This window comes from Homo sapiens, chromosome 6 (assembly GCF_000001405.40).
Source record: "Homo sapiens chromosome 6, GRCh38.p14 Primary Assembly".
NCBI classification, from domain to species: domain Eukaryota; kingdom Metazoa; phylum Chordata; class Mammalia; order Primates; family Hominidae; genus Homo; species Homo sapiens.
The window spans coordinates 44,968,074-44,988,045 of NC_000006.12; the positions used below are offsets into that span (position 1 = coordinate 44,968,074).

General features: G+C 37.5%; 1 protein-coding gene across 29 annotated transcripts in view, besides 1 other annotated feature; it reads right to left on the reverse strand.

Moving 5' to 3' along the window:
* SUPT3H (SPT3 homolog, SAGA and STAGA complex component) overlaps nucleotides 1-19,972 on the reverse strand; it is a 568,878-nt gene that overhangs the window by 159,017 nt on the left and 389,889 nt on the right. The gene's annotated exons all lie outside the window — the stretch shown is intronic.
* Nucleotides 4,746-4,946: a silencer, noted in NCBI's record as "peak5819 fragment used in MPRA reporter construct". NCBI's record gives its function as "represses an SCP1 promoter by STARR-seq MPRAs in K562 erythroleukemia cells {active_cell/tissue: K562}" and the evidence as "EXISTENCE:reporter gene assay evidence [ECO:0000049][PMID:32103011]".

A 19,972-nucleotide genomic window follows, 5' to 3' on the forward strand; every position in this document is an offset into this window, starting at 1 on the left:
TGAGCCACTGCACCTGGCCAAAAAATTTTTTTTAATCTTATTCTGATTACTCTTAAAAGTCTTACAATTGAAATGCAGAGTCCTTTTTGCATGGAAAAGGCAAAATGCCTTTTACTAAAATGGTAATCTACCAACAATCTCATGTTCAATAGGCATTGGTTGTTGAACTTGAAAACTTCAAATGGAGTGGTTGGCAGCAGCATTCAGCAATGCGGCAACATGTAAATTATGAAATGTGTATGCATGTTTATATATGTATAACGTGGTCCACTTGCAGAAGGATAATATTAACAAGTCAGTAAATACCACAAAATGCCGAAGAAACCATATCTCTAACTCACTGTAGGTAAAGAAGCTGAGGTCCAGAAAGGTTAAAGGATTTACTGGGATGGTTGCAGAGGCAATCCAGTACCCCAGTGAGTGCTCATTCTGCTTGCTGGGTCAGTTTGTAATTTGGTAGACTCCTTACCCAAAAGCTAAGTAAGCCTCCCTCAAAACACATGGTAAAGCACCCTTTCTTTTTATTCCACTGCAAAAGTCATCATTTTGGTCCTGGGGTATTGCAACAGCTTCCTAGCTTTCACAGACCTTTCCTCTCCCAACCTATCCTGCATACTAGTATTTTAAATAAAAACATGGAGAAAAGGCCCTCGTACATTGTAAGATTCACTGTAGTAGGCTGTCCTGTGTCCCCACATCACTTTCTTTTCTCTGACTCATAAACAAATGGCTCTAAACTAAGCACTGCATCAAATTTAAGCTCAAATGCCTGACTTCTAATTACAGACATAATCTCGGCCATTCTACCTCAGCACACATTGTTCTCACTAAAACCAAATTTATTCTTTGTTTTTAGTTAGGTCACCCTTTGTCATATGTGCCATGTACTGCTGCCACCCTGCCACTCCCCCATTACTGTGCTGGCCACCCCTCCCCATCTTCAGGGTCATTTAAATCATTCCCTTTCTTCAAGGTCTTGCGTAGGTCCCACCTCCTCTGGGAAGTTTGTCCAGTTTACACTGATTTCTCTCTTCTGAAATTATTTGTTCTTCTAGATAGTATTATACCCCTTCCTGCACTTTCCCATGTGTGCTACTTTTGTCTCTCCTCAAAGATTAGCTGCAGGAATGTATTATTAATGGAAAAATCAAGTTGCATACTAGAATGCATGTACCTTAATTCCATTTATGTTTGAACATACACACACATATGCACGTGTATGTCTGCAAATACACGGAAAGTCTGGAAGCATATACATTATACTTTTGATAGTATTTATCTCTGGAGGTGAAATTATAGGTAACTTTAACTTTTCAGTGACACATTTCAGTAATTTTTTTTTTTAACAGTGAATTACAAACAGAAAAAGCATTTCAAAAGTAAAGAAATCTTCTTTCCTCTTGAGTTAATTTTACTTGACTTACAGGAAGTCATTAACTGTGCACACATAAAAATAATCAAAGCAGTTACCCAAGAGGCAGAAAATCACAGAGAAACAGCAGAGGCTTGAATATATGTTTTTAGAAAAAAAATCAAAAAACAAAAACACACATACGCACACAAAGGAGAACGTCATGCAATATTTAAGGGACCGACTCAGAATCCTGACTGATGAAGTAGAAACCAAAAGTTCATTTAGGTTTGACCTGCAATTTTCACTGAATTACATCGACTTGAATAGAAATGCAGTATATTTTCTATATCACAGCCTTAAAAAATAGGTTTCCAGTGGTGCTAATTTGTTTCCCCAGAGTGGCATTCATAATATACCAATTTTACATGTCCAAGGTATTAAGAATGTCTTACAGTAATTATATGAAGTTTCCTAAAGAAAGAGCTGTAGACCCTAGAAGATTCAAAGGATTTAAAAGAAATTTTGTGCTGAAAGTGAGTAATCCTCAGCAAGTACAAAGCATCAGTGATTGAGAAACACACAAAAAGATATTTGTGCTACTATGACATAATAGAGTTGTTTCAAAATATTGAATTCAGTTTTTTTTATCTATATCCTATGGGTCTAAATATATTAATTAATGTCATCATAGGAGCTTTACCTTTTTCATACATTTTAAACTATCAAGAGTGGGCATTAATTGGTTATATAATGAAAAATGTAGTTATTAAAATCAAACTAATAAATTTAAAAATGTTTTAATGCCCATTAAAAATTTTTAATCTAAATTTATTAAGCCAGTAATGGGGAAAAAAACCATATGTAATAAAATATTTCCCATCTTGGGATAAAATGTGTGTTAAGAAAAGTATCATTTTAAAACAACCTAGTGCCATACAACCTAATTACCTGTCAAGTTGTAAATCCCAGTGTTTAGTGTTAGTACCAATTTTTGCTAATGTTTCCTTAAAATTGTAAATATGCTCTGGAATAACTCGGTTGGCAAATAACATAAAAAGCCATGTGAGTTTCTGCCCAAACTATTTCTTTTAAGTAATAGAACACTGACTTTGACTTTTTGTTTTCCTGATTAAGGATGTTACAACCCTTTTTTTTTTTTGGTGATTTTTATTTGGCTATATATAAAAAAGTGAACATGCTAGTTTAATATGTATAAAATCTTCAGGCATTTTGAATAACATTCTTAAAAATTCTCAGAGGTTTACATAATATCTAGATGAGCTGAAAGGCTTTACAGTACAGCAAGCATATAGGGATATGGTTAAATATTTTGGTCATTTTGGGTAAAACTTTAGAATACTGCCTGAAAAATATATAAAGCCATTAATTCATAAAATTTAGTTCATACTTTCTCTTTAATCCTGAGTTAGAACTGCAGATCTTTCCATCTTGGTTTAGGCAAGATCAAATTCTCAAGTAGTCAAATATGCACACTTTATGGAGTCTGGCTTTACTTACATAGAATAAAAGTCTAGCATCTTTAAGGTAAAATCTTGTGAAAAGGGAAGCCTGTCAGTGCAGCATGGCTCTCACCATCCTCCCCAAGGATACACAGAATTCTGTAAAGAACAAAGGAGCCCTGCTTGCAATCTCCCTTTGTTGCTACTATGTGATTTATCTTAGTTTTTTCAGTAAGGACTTTTTCTAAACATGTGAAAATAAAAATTTTTATTGCAGATTAAGTCATCAGTTAATTCCCTCTAAGCATTTTCAATCAGCTCTATCTTTAAAATACAACTAAAATAAACCACTTTCATCACCTTCTAGGGTCACTGATACTACTCTAGTCCAAGCCACCATCATCAACTCTCCTCTGGATTGCTCTATTAGTTTGTTCTCATGCTGCTATAAAGGACTGCCTGAGACTGGGTAATTTATAAAGGAAAGAAGTTTAACTGACTCACATTTCCACAGAACTGGGGAGGCCTCAGGAAACTTACAATCATGGCAGAAGGGGAAGCAAACACATCCTTCTTCACGTGATGGCAGGAAGGAGAAGTGCCAAGCAAAAGGAGGAAAAGCCCCTTATAAAAACATCAGATCTCCTGAGAACTCACTCACTATGATGAGAACAGAAGCATGGGGGTAACTGCCCCCCATGATTCAATGACCTCCCAATGGGTCCTTCCCATGACACATGGGGATTATGGGAACTACAATTCAAGATGAGATTTGAGTGGGGACACAGCCAAACCATATTAATTCCATCCCAGCTCCTCCCAGATCTCATGTCCTCACATTTCAAAACCAATCATGCCTTCCCAACATCCCCCAAAGTCTTTTTTGCCTGTTTGTTTTTTCTTGAGACGGAGTCTCACTCTGTCGCCCAGGCTGGAGTGCAGTGGTGCAATCTCGGCTCACTGCAAGCTCCGCCTCCTGGGTTCATGCCATTCTCCTGCCTCAGCATCCCGAGTAGCTGGGACAACAGGCGCCTGCCACCACACCCGGCTAATTTTTTTTGTATTTTTAGTAGAGACGGGGTTTCACCATGTTAGCCAGGATGGTCTCTATCTCCTGACCTTGTGATCTGTCCACCTCGGCCTCCCAAAGTGCTGGGATTACAGGCATGAGCCACTGCGCCCAGCCAACATCCCCCAAAGTCTTAACTCATTCCAGCATTAACCCAAAAGTCCAAGTCCAAAGTCTCATCTGAGACAAGACCAGTCCCTTCCACTTACAAGCCTGTAAAATCAAAGACAAGTTAGTTACTTCCTAGATACAATGGTGGTACAGGCATTGGGTAAACATACCCATTCTAAATGGGAGAAATTGGCCAAAATGAAGGGGTTACAGGCCCCACATAAGTCCAAAATCCAGTGGGGCAGTCAAATCTTAAAACTCCAAAATGATCTCTTTTGACTCCATGTCTCATATCCAGGTCGCACGGATTCAAGAGAGGTGGGGTCCCAGGGCCTCTTGTCAGCTACGCCCCTGTGGCTTTGTAGGGCACAGCTCCCCTCCCAGATGCTTTCATGGGCTGGTGTTGAGTATCTGCGGCTTTTCCAGGAACACAGTGCAAGCTGTCAGTGGATCTACCATTCTGCGATCTGGAGAATGGTGGCCCTTTTACAGCTCTACTAGGCAGTGCCCCAGTAGGGACCTGTGTGGTGGCTCCAACCCCACATTTCCTTTCTGCACTGCCCTAGTAGAGGTTTTCCAGGAGGGCTCTGCCCCGGCAACACACCCCTGCCTAGACATCCAGGTGTTTCCATACATCCTGTGAAGTCTAGGTGGAGGTTCCCAAACCTCAATTCTAGACTTCTTTGCTCCCACAGACTCAACACCATGTGGAAGCTGCCAAGGCTTGGGACTTGCACCCTCTGAAGCCACAACTCTTTTAGCCATGCTGGGACACAGGGCACCAATTCCCAAAACTGCACAAAGCAGCAAGGCCCTGGGCCTGACTCATGAAACCATTTTTTCCTCCTACGCCTCTGGGCCTGTGATGGGAGGGGTTGCCGTGAAGACCTCTGACATGCCTTGGAGACATTTTCCCCTGTTTTGGCAATTAACATTTTGCTCCTCATTATTTATGCAAATTTCTGCAGCAGGCTTGAGTTTCTTCTCAGAAAATAGGTTTATCTTTTCTATCATATCACGAGGCTGCAAATTTTCCAAAGTTTTATGCTCTGGTTCCCTTTTAAACATAAGTTCCAATTCCAAAGTGTCTCTGTAAATACATAAAACTGAATACTTTTTACAGCACCCAAGGAACCTCTTGAATGACTTGTTGCTTAAAAATTTCTTCTGCTATATACCCTAAATCATCTCTCCCCAGTTCAAAGTTCCACAGACCTCTAGGGCAGGGAAAAAATGCTGCCAGTCTCTTTGCTAAAACACAGCAAGAGTCACCATTATTTTAGTTCCCAACAACTTCCTCATCTCCATCTGGGACCACCTTAGCCTGGACTTCATTGTTTACATTACTGTCAGCATTTTGGTCAAAGCCATTCAACAAGTCTGTAGGAATTTCCAAACTTTCCTACATCTTCATGTCTCCTGAGCCCTCCAAGTCTCTAGGAAGTTTCAGACTTTCCCATATTTTCCTGTCTTCTTCTGAGGCCTCCAAACTGTTCCGACCTTGGCCTGTTACCAACTTCCAAAGTCACTTCCACATTTTCAGGTATTTTTACAGCAGCACACCACTACCTGGTACCAATTTCCTATATTAATCTGTTTTCACACTGCTAATAAAGACATACCAGAGATTGGGTAATTTATAAAGGAAAATGGTTTAATTGACTCACAGTTCTGCAGGGCTGGGGAGGTCTCAGGAAACTTACAATCATGGCAGAAGGGGAAGCAAATACATCCTTCTTCACATGGTGGCAGCAAAGAGGAGAAGCCCCTTATAAAACCATCAGATCTCCTGAGAACTCACTTACTACCATGAAAACAGCATGGAGGTAACAGCCCCCATAATTCAATTACCTTCCACCAGGTCCCTCCCACGACACGTGAGGATTATGGGAACTACAATTCCAGATGAGATTTGGGTGGGGACACAGCCAAACTGTATCAATTGCTATAACAGACTCCTAATGAGTCTTCCTGCTATGGCTCACATATATTAGGTAACTTGTCCAAGGTTGCTAAGCAATGTGTGCTGCAATCTGAAATGAGATCTGTCTTACTCTAAAGTTTATGCTCTTTTTACTACAAAAGGGGTTTGGCTACGTGTGTATATGCTGGGTGGGGTAGGTGTATGTGAACATTTGAAAATATGTATTTGTGTATATATATATTCATATATACATGTTTGTATATATAAATATATATATGTCTGTATAACTATATACACACATATATGTATAATGTGTGTGTATAAATTGTGTGTGTTTGTGTTTGTGTAATTTAAGAGATACCTTATGGAACCCTCATAAATGAAGGTGCTGAAACCAGAGATGCTTTGATAGAGGTGAGGGAAGAAGACTCACAGTCCTCCAATATTCTTTCTCCTCTGCAAAGTACTTCTCAATGAAATACCAAAAACTGCAAAACACAACTTGAAAACTACTGTACTATACACATTGCCGTCCCTTCAAGGAGTAAGCATTGTGCTTCTGGTTTCAAAACAGAGGCCATTTCACAGGAAGATCATGGTACCAAAGGAAAAAGTAATCCCCACACACCGGACAAAGTGACCTTTTAAAAATGCAAATCATGCTGTGTCATTTCTATCAAAACCCTCCTTGGTCCTGACATCATGGTCTGTTGCAAAAATGACAGGCTATCTATAAAGCACTTAGGAAAAACTGCTCCTAAAACAGACTAGAACAAATGTTGCTATATTTAACTTCCCTGAGTCAATACAATAAGACCTCTCTTCACCTCTGATAAAAATTCTATACCCTATGTGAAAGCTACCCTACTGCTGCCAGAAATGTTAATGAGTAGCAGAGATAACTGGCTCAATGATGTATTAAGATGACCAGTTTATTGGGAGGCCGAGGCAGGTGGATCACCTGAGGTCAGGAGTTCGAGACCAGCCTGACCAATATGGTAAGACCCCGTCTCTACTAAAAATACAAAAATTAGCTGGGCATGGTGGTGGGTGCCTGTAATCCTAGCTAGTCGGGAGGTTGAGGCAGGGGAATCACTTGAACCCAGGAGGCGGAGGGTGCAGTGAGCAGAGATCGGGCCACTGCACTCCAGCCTGGGTGACACAGCAAGACTCCATCTCAAACAAACAAACAAACAAACAAAAAAGACGACCAGTTTATAGCTTTTACTATCTGTAATTTATCTTCTTAGTTTCACTCTCCCAGTTTATAAATATTTTAAAAGTTGACTCTTTATATAGAAAACCATAAGTATTCTAACTAACGAACTAAGTTGGGCCTAAATGCCCATCAACCAACAACTGAATAAAGAAAATGTGGTATATATATACCATGGAATACTACTCAGCCATAAAAAGGAATGAAATAATGGCATCTGCAGCAAGCTGGATGGAGTTGGAGATCATTATTCTAAGTGAATTATCTCAGGAATGAAAAACTAATTATCTTATGTTCTCACTTATAAGTAAGAACTAAGCTATGAAGATGCAAAGGCATAAGAATGATATAAGGAACTTTGGAGACTTGGTGGGAAGGGTGGGAGGGGGTGAGGGATAAAAGACTACACTTGGGTACAGTGTACACTGCTCGGGTTACAGTGCACCAAAATCTTAGAAATCACCACTAAAGAACTTATACACGTAACCAAAAACCACCTGTTCCTCAAACACTATTGGGAAAAAAATTGAAATGTCAATATACTTGGAAAGAGTCCTATTAATAATATAAACATCAAATTACTTCTGATTTTTGATAAGCAGAGTAAGTAAAATGATGAGCTCATTATTAAAAAAAAGAAAATATGAAAAAAGCAAACTCATGCTGAGTATGTCATGCTCCAGTAAGGAAACAATGCCACCAGTGTGGGAAAAATTCTCGAGGAAAAATAGGCTTTTATAACTGGATAGCATTTGAGTTAAGATTAGAAACAAAACAAACAAAATTAAATTATTTATTCCTCTAAATGGAACGTTCTTAATCATCTTAATGCTAAAGTTTCCTTTCTTGTAATTGGCTGAGTTGTTTTCACGAATCAGAAATGAGCAAGTCCATCAATAGAAATCTGTCACAGAGACTGATCTAAGCTAGAAGCATGAGTTAACATAAAACAAAAGGAAGAAAATTTTTTTCCTGAGAATGCCAAGATTTAGTCACTAAGAAAAGGAGAAAATGATAGTCTTTACCAAGTATGACTATCACGAAGATACAAGAATAATCATAACAATCAAAAATGCTTTGCTTCAGATGTAGTAAACGTAAATTCCTAAATACTTAAGAAAAAGCAGAAATGTCTACACATTTGGAAAATTAATGTCTTTTTTTTTTTTCTTGAGACAGAGTCTCACTCTGTTGCCCAGGCTGGAGTGCAGTGGCGCAATCTTGGCTCACTGCAATCTCTGCCTCCAGGGCTCGAGAGATTCTCCTGCCTCAGCGTCCCGAATAGCTGGGAATACAGGTGACCACAACCATGCCTGGCTAATTTTTTGTATTTTTAGTAGAGACGGGGTTTCACCATGTTGGCTAGGCTGGTTTCAAACTCCTGACCTCAAGTGATCTGCCCGCTTCAGCCTCCCAAAGTGCTAGGATTACAGGCATGAGGCACTGCGCCCGGCCATATTTTGAATTCTTATCTGAAAAGTCTACTTACCTAAACTAAAAATATTTTTTAAAAACAGAAATAATCTTTAAAATAATTGTGGGTGTGAAAATCTTTGAATTATAAAGTCTTGCAGGGACTTTTCTCTTGAAGAAGGCTTGGCTATACTTAGATTCAGTATAGGTATTTCAAGTAGCCTGAACACAATGGCTGTCCCTTGAGCTTCTAAGAATGCAGAAGAGCAAAATCCTCTGCAATCATAAGTGCAAAACCTGTAATTATGGTTATTTAACAAAATGGTTTCTGTTAAGATATTTGATGATGAAATTTCCACTCTCTTAGATGTCAGTGCCCACATTTTATTCAGGCTTTACTCATGAGTAAATGTATTATAACTGTTATTTGATTAAATGTCAGTGGCCACCAGGCCTAGTTCATAAGCAAGAAGCTTAAAGAAGGCAAGCCACAGAGGGTGTGGAATGATTACAAAGAAAGATGATGAAAGGAGAATTGTTTTTGCAACTTGGTGATGTGAGGCAGTGTTTCACCTTAAATAAAGTAACCACAAAAGCTTTAAAGAAGCAAAGGACTATTTTGGCAGCAAGAGGAAGGGAAGATCAGTAAAATGGGTAAAGTCAAGTAAGGAAGAATCACAGCATAGAACAGCAGTATTTTAAAGTTTTATGTATACTGCCTTATTTACATGTTTATCCACTCAACAGCTGTGTCAGGGAGAAAGATAAGCTATTATTACATTTCCATTTATAGAAGAAACTGAAACTTACTGATTCTCTGGATTTTTTAAAAATACTTTTTAAAAAAAATTTTTGAACTAATTTTAGATTTGCAGAAAAACTTCAAAAATAGTACAGAGAGTTCCTGTATACTCTTCACCCCACCTTGCCACCCTACATGCATCTTATCTGATCTCACAAGCTAAACTGGGTCAGGTTTGTTTAGTACTTGGATGAGAGTTTTGTGGTTTTTCACCAAGGTAAAATATATTGCTAGAAAGAGTTTAAGATTCCTATTCCAAAATCAGTGCTCTTTCTACTATACTACTGACTTCTACACAAAACTCCTTATTCAGATATAAAATTTTCTATCTGATCAAGTAAAATTATGCAGTTCACTTGACATTACTACTACATGTTACAACTTTAGAGATGTATAAAATTTGCAATAATCTAAAAAATTCTACGTGAAATGCTCTGTAGTGGCCCTGATAAGAAACTGGTTTTGTTTTATAGAATTGAAACCCTCAGATTGCGCTACATGCAGTTTTCATAAGATCTAGAAATGTATTCTAAAATGAATACATTGCTTAATGAAATATAAGTGGACGAATGTCATGGAATTATCATAGTGCCTACTGAATATTCAGACTACATTTTCTGAGTCATTTTACTCGGTGGTAGTAGTAAATATTACATATTCCACTAACTTGATGTTATGCATGCTGCAAATCCTTTGATTCTGATTCTAGTCACTATGAAGGGAAGATTATTTCTAAAGTAAATTCCATAGGAATATTGCTATATTATATATTTTCATAAAGAAGATTCTGTCAATGACAGCTACCATTTCTTAAACACCCATGTGCTGAACTGAGCCAGGTATATTACATATGTTATCACAAATCCTTCCCAACACTTCTAAGATGCAGGTCCAGATAAAGGAATCTGAGACTCAGAAACATGTAGTAATTTGTCCAGGTTAGTAACATACCTTGGATAAAGAATGGAACTGTGATTTTAATATGTAGGTCTATATGACCCCAAAGCCCATGCTCTGGTCATAATACCATACAATCTAAAGAGAGTATCAGAAAAAAGACAAGTATACTACAAACAGTTTGGTAAAAGATAAAAACTGTCATTCTATAATAAAGAAAATGATGCAGAGGGAAGAGATAGATTTGCTAAACAATGAGAATATGCATACTGTGTATGTTTCATTAGTTTGTAGGCTTTAAGTGGGAACACAGTGTTGTGACATAGCATGGTCTCATCTGTCTGGGAAGGTCATCCTTCCTTTCTATTCGTTCTAAGTAATAGAATAATAGTTATTCTATTGAGTAAGAAGCAACATGAAGGATCCACATGGGAGGACTAGGGTGAGGGTGAAAGTAGGGAGAGAGTTTGGTCTGTCAGAACAGGCTAAAAACCCTATAATCACTGGGGCAACAGGTTTCATGACCAGATTGCCCAAACGTTGTATGCAGATTAGAAACAAAACAAAACATGGACAACATTGAAATAAGTAACAGAAATCCACACAATGAAAATATGTCCTTGCCAAAATAATAAATTAATATTCTTCAAAGCACAAAAGCAATCCTGTTAATATTCTTTTCTATTGGTGCCTTTTAGGTACATTTACAACATGATAAACTAAATTGGATTTTATACAATTCTTAAGTAATACTCCTATTGTACCACACCAGGTATCCCATATAGTTAAATGAACACGCCTTGTTACTTTGCATACCCTCCTTTGCATAATGTTCTTTAGAGGTAGAAAAACACACAGCCCAGATGGTACTTATTTTTCTGTAGCACAGTATTTTAATTTCTCAAGTCGCAGAACGAATATTTTGATTAACAAAAAAGCCTAAAATCAAATCCTCCCATTTTCTTTCAGAATTTAAGAGACAAGAAACATACTAATAAATACTGAATGATTTCTTCAACCATTTGATAGGTTGATAGGTTTCAATGAACAAAATTCTTCAAATTAGTATGAGTCTTAGGCTAAAACATGTTAAGATATTAACACTTGGCCTATGGTTATGATTGTTCTTTGAAAATCATAAACCATGACAAAATACTCTTTCAATACAAAAAGTAAACTCAGTTTTTATCAATTATCTGTGAAAGAATGAACAAAGTGTGTGTGGGGGGGGGAAATCAATGTTCTATGTAAAAGGTTAAGTGGAGCTTTGGAATTGACAGTGAAAGCCCACACAAAAGCTAGGATGAGTAATCTCTACAGCCTCCTTGACCCATTAAAAGGTGATGAGTTTGTGTGACAGCCAAGAATTATCTGCTCTCATGACATGGGACAAAAAAAGTTCGTTTTACATCTTATGAACTTACGAGTTCATTTCATTGGCACAAATTAGAAATAAGACTATGAGATAACCTGGATTTCTTCAAGCATCAGGTAAAACAGAACGCAATTACTGTCAAACAGATTGGAATTATTAAGTTCTTTCCATTTACCAAACTGTTAACTAAAACAATTTTTATAGTAGACCAGGTCTACCTTAAGACACTAATTATTTTCTTGAAGTACGTTCTTATCAATCCAGGGGGCTCATTCACGTTTTATTAGTTAAGATTATTTCTGGCTACATATATAAGCCAAAATTATAGTTGCTTAGGCAAGATCAAAGTTTATTTTTCCTCACATAAATGAATTCTGGAGATAGGTATTCAGGCTTTACACAAACACTGACTGAAGTCTCCAGGGCCTCAATCTCCTCCAGTATCTGCTCTGACATTTTGTGATTCAGAATGTCTTGGCTTCTAAAGCTCCAGCCTTGAATCTGCATAAAATAGACAAATGCAGAAAGGGTAGGGAGTGTACCCTTTCTCTAAAAAAAAAAAAAAGAAAAAATGACAGTAAGTCCTCACTTCATCTCATTGATAAGTTCTCGGAAACTGAAAATTTATGTGAAACAACATATAACAAAATCATTTTTTTCTTTGTCCCTCATCAATGTTATAACAAAATGACAGTGAAGGAAAGGAAGTTGAGGGCCTGCTGTACAATGATGTTACGTGAGGGCTTATTGTACTAAGGATTCCCATAGAATGCTTACATTTCATTGGCCACAACTCAGTCGTGTGACCAAACGTGGCTGAGGGTAAGAGAAATGCAGATTTTCTTTCTTTCTTCTTGTTTGGTCTAGATGTTAAAATACCCAGCTACAAATCAGTTTTGTTACAAAGGAAGGAGAACATGGATACTGAGTGGCAAGTAGTTGTGTCTACATGGTGGTATATGACTGAGGTTAAAAATTCATTACATCTATGTGACCCATCATAATCATTTCCAGAACTGATTTTTAGCAGTCATAGGAACCTCTAATAAGTTTAAGAATGAGGATTCTCTTCCTTCACATCACTTACAAACATTTTTTTAAATGCAATTTATGTAGCTTTAAACTTCACTAGAGTACTTTCAGAGGATAAGGAGAAGGCAAAGTTAAGTCAAATAACCATGTCTAATAACTGTCCTAATTCCAAAAAGATTAAGAAGCGCACGTCTGAAGAAGTAGATTTAGTGGCATTTAATCTATTCATACCTTAGAGTTAGCATAACAACTCCTCAAGGAAGGCAAGTGACAGGAAAAGGGGTTTGACAAATGATTCACTCCAATGCCTACTTAAATGCTTTGCCGTTTTGCGTAAATGCCAGCTGGTGGGATGGATCACTGCTACTGACATGTTCTACTCTAACTCTTTACTGGAAGCCCAGCTATAGCTGCTATCCATCTCAAACTTCATCTTAGGGAGAAATACACTACAGGATATGAGGGGTAAAGTGATTCCAAGAACAAGGAACTTGAAAGTAACAGAGAATATTTGCAGAGCTGGGTATAAATAAATGAAGGATGGATTTTAATGAAGAAGTCATATACCTGGAAAATATTGCTTCACTTGTTAACAAAAAGCATGAAATTACATTTTTGTCGTTTTATTTTGATGAGAGAGATATGAATAAAGCAAATGACATTTAAGATATATTTGAAAAGGAATGGACTGGGTACATCATAGGGTAAATACGATTCCAACCCAATCCCAATACATTCTGTATATCAACAGTGCTTAAGTGTTGTAACTCAGTGGCAAATGAGTTTTAATCATAACCCAAATATTTTGAAATATTCTTCTATAATATTGAGAAACATTTTATACCATTAGAAAAAGATTAGCGTGAGTGGTAATAGGAATGTTTACCTGGGAATCAGAAGATCTGGACTCTAGGTCTCAGTTTTACCTCTAACACAAGATGGGACTCTCTAGGTTAAGTTGCTTCATCTCACTGTGACTGAGTTCTCTCTTCTTTAATATAGCTCTGAGATTCTGTGGTTCTACGTGTATTCTCTTATCTCAGGGAACTCCTGAAAGCCTTAGAAACATTTTGGCTGGGCATGGTAGCTCATGCCTGTAATCTCAGCACTTTGGGAGGTGAAACTCCATCTCTACATGACATGAAAAAAAAAAAAAAAAGCAAAACTAGCTAGGGACCATGGTGCGTGCCTGTAGTCCCAGCTACTGGGGAGGCTAAAGTGGGAGGATCGCTTGAGCACAGGAGTTTGACACTGCAGTGAGCAATGATCTCACTATTGTGCTCCAGCCTGGTCAACAGAGTGAGATCCTGTGTCTAAAACAAAGCAAAGCAAAACAAAAGAAAAGAAAAAGAAATTTAAAAAGCAAAGAAATATTTCATAGTTCTAAGATTTAAGAGATAAGACAACCTGGCCAAATCCACACTGAGAAAATTTCAAGCTGTTTGCAATGATTCTTTTTGTTTGTTTGTTTGTTTGTTTGAGACAGTCTCACTCTGTCACCCAGGCTTTTTTTTTGAGATGGAGTCTCGCTCTGTCGCCCAGGCTGGAGTGCTGTGGCACAATATCAGCTCACTGCAAGCTCTGCCTCCTGGGTTCACACCATTTTCCTGCCTCAGCCTCCCGAGTAGCTGGGACTACAAGTGCCCGCCACCACGTCTGGCTAATTTTTTGTATTTTTAGTAGAGACAGTGTTTCACCGTGTTAGCCAGGATGGCCTCCATCTCCTGACCTCAATCTCCTGGCCTCCTGAAGCGCTGGGATTACAGGCGTGAGCCACCATGCCCAGCCCGATTCTTTATATAGAAGAAATGTCACTGGAAGAAGCCATAAGGGTCCTAACTTCTGGTAAACATCCAGATACTTCAAAACTATGAGTGTGTTAGAATCACTTCACTTGTATCAAAGATACAGCTATGTACTCTCCTGTATCAACTTTGTATTAGTCTCCTATCTCTCCTCTATCTTGCACAGAAGAATTTTTTGCTGATTTAGAGAATGAAGAGGCCTTGTGATAGTGATAATGAAAGACAGACTATGGCATTCGTAAGAATCTGTACTTTCATAACAGAGAATGGAAAAATAATTCAGGTACTTCTTAAAGTCAAGAAAATAAAAGGATAGGAAAAACACCACTACTCTGGCTTCAAATAGTTCCTCCTAGAGATGCTCGTATAGTGAATTAGGTCCAACACAAGAAATCTAAGAAGATGTTCTAAAGAACTTTGCAAAAGGTACCAATCACCATGGGATTCACATAGAGGCTAAATATTAAATCTGTCTTTTTAAGATAAAATATATGTTGAAAGCTATTATCAATAGTTGTTTTTGAGAGAAGTATATCTAAGAGATTATGGTATTCAAATGTATGTCAATGCTCTTTGAAAATAAGTGTAAAAAATTCTAAATGGATGTTTGAGTCACATAAGCATAGATGAGCAGAAGCAAATGTAAACTCCCAAATCAAATAATGTCAGTTATTTGTAGATCACCATAGCCTCATACTTTTCCACTATATTAGTCTATACAGGGTGACTTGTTAGGTAAAAGTGGACATTCTAGATTACAAGAAAGTCTTTGGTTTTCTGATAATAAGGAGATAAAGTGAGCCTTCAAAAATTTACATTAAATTTATTGGACACATTTTAAGAAAGTGAAAGTTCATTTTCTAATAGCTAATGAAGGCAGTGTGTACCTTCAGTAGGCAAGGAATGTGAACATACCTTTACATATTCTTTGAGAAAAGCATATCCTATCCCATTAACTGAAGAAAGAAAGAAAGAAAAAAAATCCCCTACCATGTCCCTATTAAAAAGAAATCAGGCTTGGTATGCTTATGACACTTCAAAGAGCATATTATGTGGGAAAACAAAATAAACATTTAACCTGGCAAATGAAAATGGACTTGGGGTTTTGACATACTTGGCAGACAGGTAGAATTAAATTCAAGTAAAGAATGCAGAGAAACTAATATAGTATTTAAATATTTGCTTAAGTAATATAGTATTTAAAATAACATTCAAAGAACCGTTTTTATTGAAATGTTTTACAGGTTTAGTGAGGATGTTTTTTAACTGAAAGAGCTTGACTGGAAGTACACTTTACTTTCTCTCTGTCATTCTGTGAACTTTAGTGAGGTTTTCTATTTACTTTTTCATTAGGCATTTTCCTGTAAGTCTAAGATAACTGTACAGTATGCTCTGTAGCTTTTTAAAGAAAATTTAGATGACAAAAGTCATTTTTGAAATAAAATACCGACAGTCTCAAGATCAACCTAGCATATATATGGCATATTATGAATATAAATGTTGAGTGGATGAATGAATAGAGGGTCTAATCTAGTAAGGAGCTAAGGCACTGTCTGCCTCCTCTTGCCTCCATCTCCGCAAGGTTGCCTAGAAGCCTCTATGTGAGAGAGGTGTAACAGGATCCTGCCTTCTAGCGATGGTGCCAAGTCCAGGCCTGGACACTAGACACAGCTGAATCAAACAGAGGCCATTTCCTGAGACTTAAGATTGGTAATCCAGTGAGCTGGGCCTGCCTCTCTCAAGGTGATGAAGCTAACTTGGGAACTACTGGTGGCATGTAACCCTCTAAGTATAAAGCATAGCTCAACAAGGAGAGAAAAATTAAGCCTATGTAGAGAGAAGTGGAGATCAGAAATAGTGAATAAAATTTTTATTTTATTGGTGTCTGAGTTGTAGTTCTTGAGGCCCAGTTGTATACCCATCTGTAGGTTGCTTAGAAGATACACATCCTTATAAAATGAGAAATTTGTCTATGTAGTTAACTATTTTTCCAAACAACATGTCAAATAGAGTATAAGTGAATATATATTTAGCATCTTTGCGATCCCCAGTCTCTACATGAATCCATGATCTCTGTATAGTCTGTCACCAATTGCAGGAAGAACAGTAGCAACTCCCAATGAAATAAAACTCCCATCGCAACTTTGCTTCAGCATCCTGACAAAACTGACCTCTTTCCTATATGTAACTAACTTTTATTACTAGTAGCACACTTAATTAATATACATGTTTTAATTACCATAAGGACATTAACCATCAGGGCATTGCCAGAAACATAAACATAAATTACATAAAGGCCAAAAGATCAACACAAAGTCCTTTACATAGTAGGAAATATTATCTTCCTAAATAGCCCATAATAAATCAGGTAGAGGTGCCAAATTTTGCTCAGTATTCATCTGTAATACTAGTTTTCTGTTCCCAGAGAAAACAAGCTTGATGAAAGAGTTTTGGGGGATGACGGACAGTTTTGTGTCATTGAAAATTTGTGATCACAAAAAAGTCACATTCAAAACTAAAATATAGGCTGGGTATGGCAGCTCATGCCTGTAATCCTCGTGTTCTGGGAGGCTGTGATGGAAAGACTGCTTGAGGCCAGGAGTTCAGAACCAGCCTGGTTAACAAAGCAAGACCTCATCTCTACCAAATAAATAAATAAATAAATAAATAAATAAATAAATAAATAAAATAAAATAAAATAAAATAAATAAATAAAATAGCCAGGCATGGTGGCACGCATCTGTAGTCCCAGCTACTTAGGAGTCTGAGGTAAGAGGATCGCTTGAGCTCAGTTCAAGGATGCAGTGTGCTACGATGGCACCACTGCACTCCAGCTTGGGTGACACAGTGAGACTCTTTATCCAAAAAGTTAAAAATAAAAGAAGATATAGAATCTCCCAATTCATAAATACGTTGTATCCTAAAAGTCTGTTTAGGGTACAACATCCTAAACAAATCCATCTTCCCATAGAAACACTGTCCTAAATGGTGGTTAGGTTCCCAAGTAATCTACAAAAACCTCTTTAACCCATATGCACCTGGACATACTCAGTTTATGCAGGAATCAGAAGGGACATATTTAAGAAAATTTTGTCCTCTTTCTACAAGTACCAGTATTACGCAAAATTCTGAAAGCATAAAGTTGGTCTTTGACATATTTTCACTTTATTTCTGAAATCTTCTCAACTTCTTAGCATCTCTCTCTAGAATTTTCTCCTTCCAACAAGTACAGCACCTCACTTAATATTCCCTACTCTTTAAGGTTCAAAACTACTTTACCTCTACTCTTTGCCAAACAAAATTCTTTAAAGTCCCTCTTAGCTAATGATCAAGAGGTAAGCAATCTGATTCACACTAATATGTAAATAACTGAGTGTCCTTGGCCCTTCATGTGTTTTTAAAATTTTTGAAAGAAGATAAAGTAATCTCTTATCAACTATGGTTTTATAAATTGTGGACTTAAGATAATGAGGGTTCACGTTTGTAAACCAAGTATGATAAGTCCATTATCTTTTAATATGTGATTCTGTTCAGAAATTGACATGGCCAAGCAAAAGTAAAATATCTTTATCAGCCTTAAAATTAGGGAGCCTAGCAACTATACATAACAAAACTCGAGAAGTTTCTTCCAGATAAAGACCAGAATGGAAGAAATATAAAACTTTCCCAATACTTTCCTTTTCCAGATAGTGCATGCACAGAGGAGATTGCTTTCCTGGTACTTTTCACTTTGTAACTGTGACCCTAGACAAGTTACCTAATCTCTGTGCTTCAGTGTCCCCAACTATAAAGTGAACAGGGTAACAGAAACTATCCCATGGGTAGACTGTGAAGAAAGGAATACATCAGATAATACATATATTAGGGTTTAGAACAGTATCTGGCATGCAGTAAGTGCAATGAATGACTCTGGTACTACTACTACTAATACTATTGAGGACACTACAATTTATTGCACTTGGTAGAGGGAAATGTCTTGGCTATGGTCAATTAAAATTATACCATCAGTAGTCGAAATCTTTACAATACTTTGAGTTGAGATGCAGAATGAATGTCAAAATCCTTTATCCTACCCAAAGGTTCACTGGTTCGCTCTAAGCAAAGTAATTAAAGTAATTAAAGGTGGTTATTATGAAATTTCTGAACAGAATCACATACTAAAGATATTTTCATTATTTGTTTATATAAAATATATTTATTGAGCATCTACTATTATTACACTCTGTTCAGGGTACCGGAGATACTGCAGTGAACATAATAGATGAAGCTCTTGTCTCCTGGAGCTTTCTCCTCAAGTAGAGGAAGACAGAAAAAAAAACAACATATAAAAGATCACGGATGATAAGTGCCATGAATAATATAGTAGAGTAAGGATTTAGAAAAGGATTGATATATGGGAAGTACACTGTTCCTTTTGTCAGTCTGCTGGGGCTGCCATAACAAAATACCATAGAATAGGTGGCTTAAACAACAGAAATATATTTCTCCCGGTTCTGAAGGCTAGAGGTTCAACATCAGGGTGCCAGCACACTCTGGTTCTGGTGAGGGCTCTCTTCCTGGCTTACAGATAGCTGTCTTCTCCCTATGTCCTCACATGGCAGAGATCTCTAGAGGTTCTTCCTGTTCTTACAAAACACTAATCCCATCATGAAACTCTACTCTCATGACTTAGTCTAAACCTAATTAACTCCCAAAGGTCCCATCTCCAAATACCATCACACTGGGCATTGGGAGTCAGGGCTTCAACATATAAATTGGGCGGGGGGTGGGTGGGAAGAGGGCAATTCAGTCCATAGCCCCTTTTTATGGGATGGTCAGAGAAAATCTCTCTGAAAATATGATATGTGAGTAGAGATCTGAGGAAAATGAGAGAGCTAGAAAACAGCACATGCAAAATTCTGGAAGTGGCAGTGTGCTGGTTCAGTTCAGGGCCACTGAGAGCTGATATCCAGAGAAAGATGGAGATGGAGAATTGACCAATGTATTTGGCAACAATGGAGGTTAGTAGCAACCTTAACAAGAGTAATTTCTTGTAGAGTGCTGAGGATGAAAGCATGATTCAAGTGGGTTCTAAAGAGAATGGAAGGAGAGGAAATGTAACCTCTTTTGAGAAGTTTTATGCTGAATGAGAGCAGAAAAATATAGTTGAAAGCTTTTTTTGTTTGTTTAAGATGGGGGAAATTATAACATTTTTCTGTGCTGATAAAAATTAACCAATAATGTATGTCGGTGCTCTGGTAGCGTGTGAAAGTACTCTTCCGATTACTTCTTTTTTCTCAGTGCAACAAGATGAAGTGAATCTGGAGAATGAGTGAACTAGGAATGAAGCTGGAAAAGGGAAGAAGTGCAAAAAGTCTGAAGAGAGGAAAAGGTTTAAATAATCATTAAGTACCACGGGAGAATGGGTACACTAGGGAATGTTCTAGGATTGCTGGGCAGCGCCAAGGGTATTTGAGATTCTTAGTGAAGTAAGAAAGTAAGATTAGTCTGCTTATTTTTCTCCAGTTGTGTTCT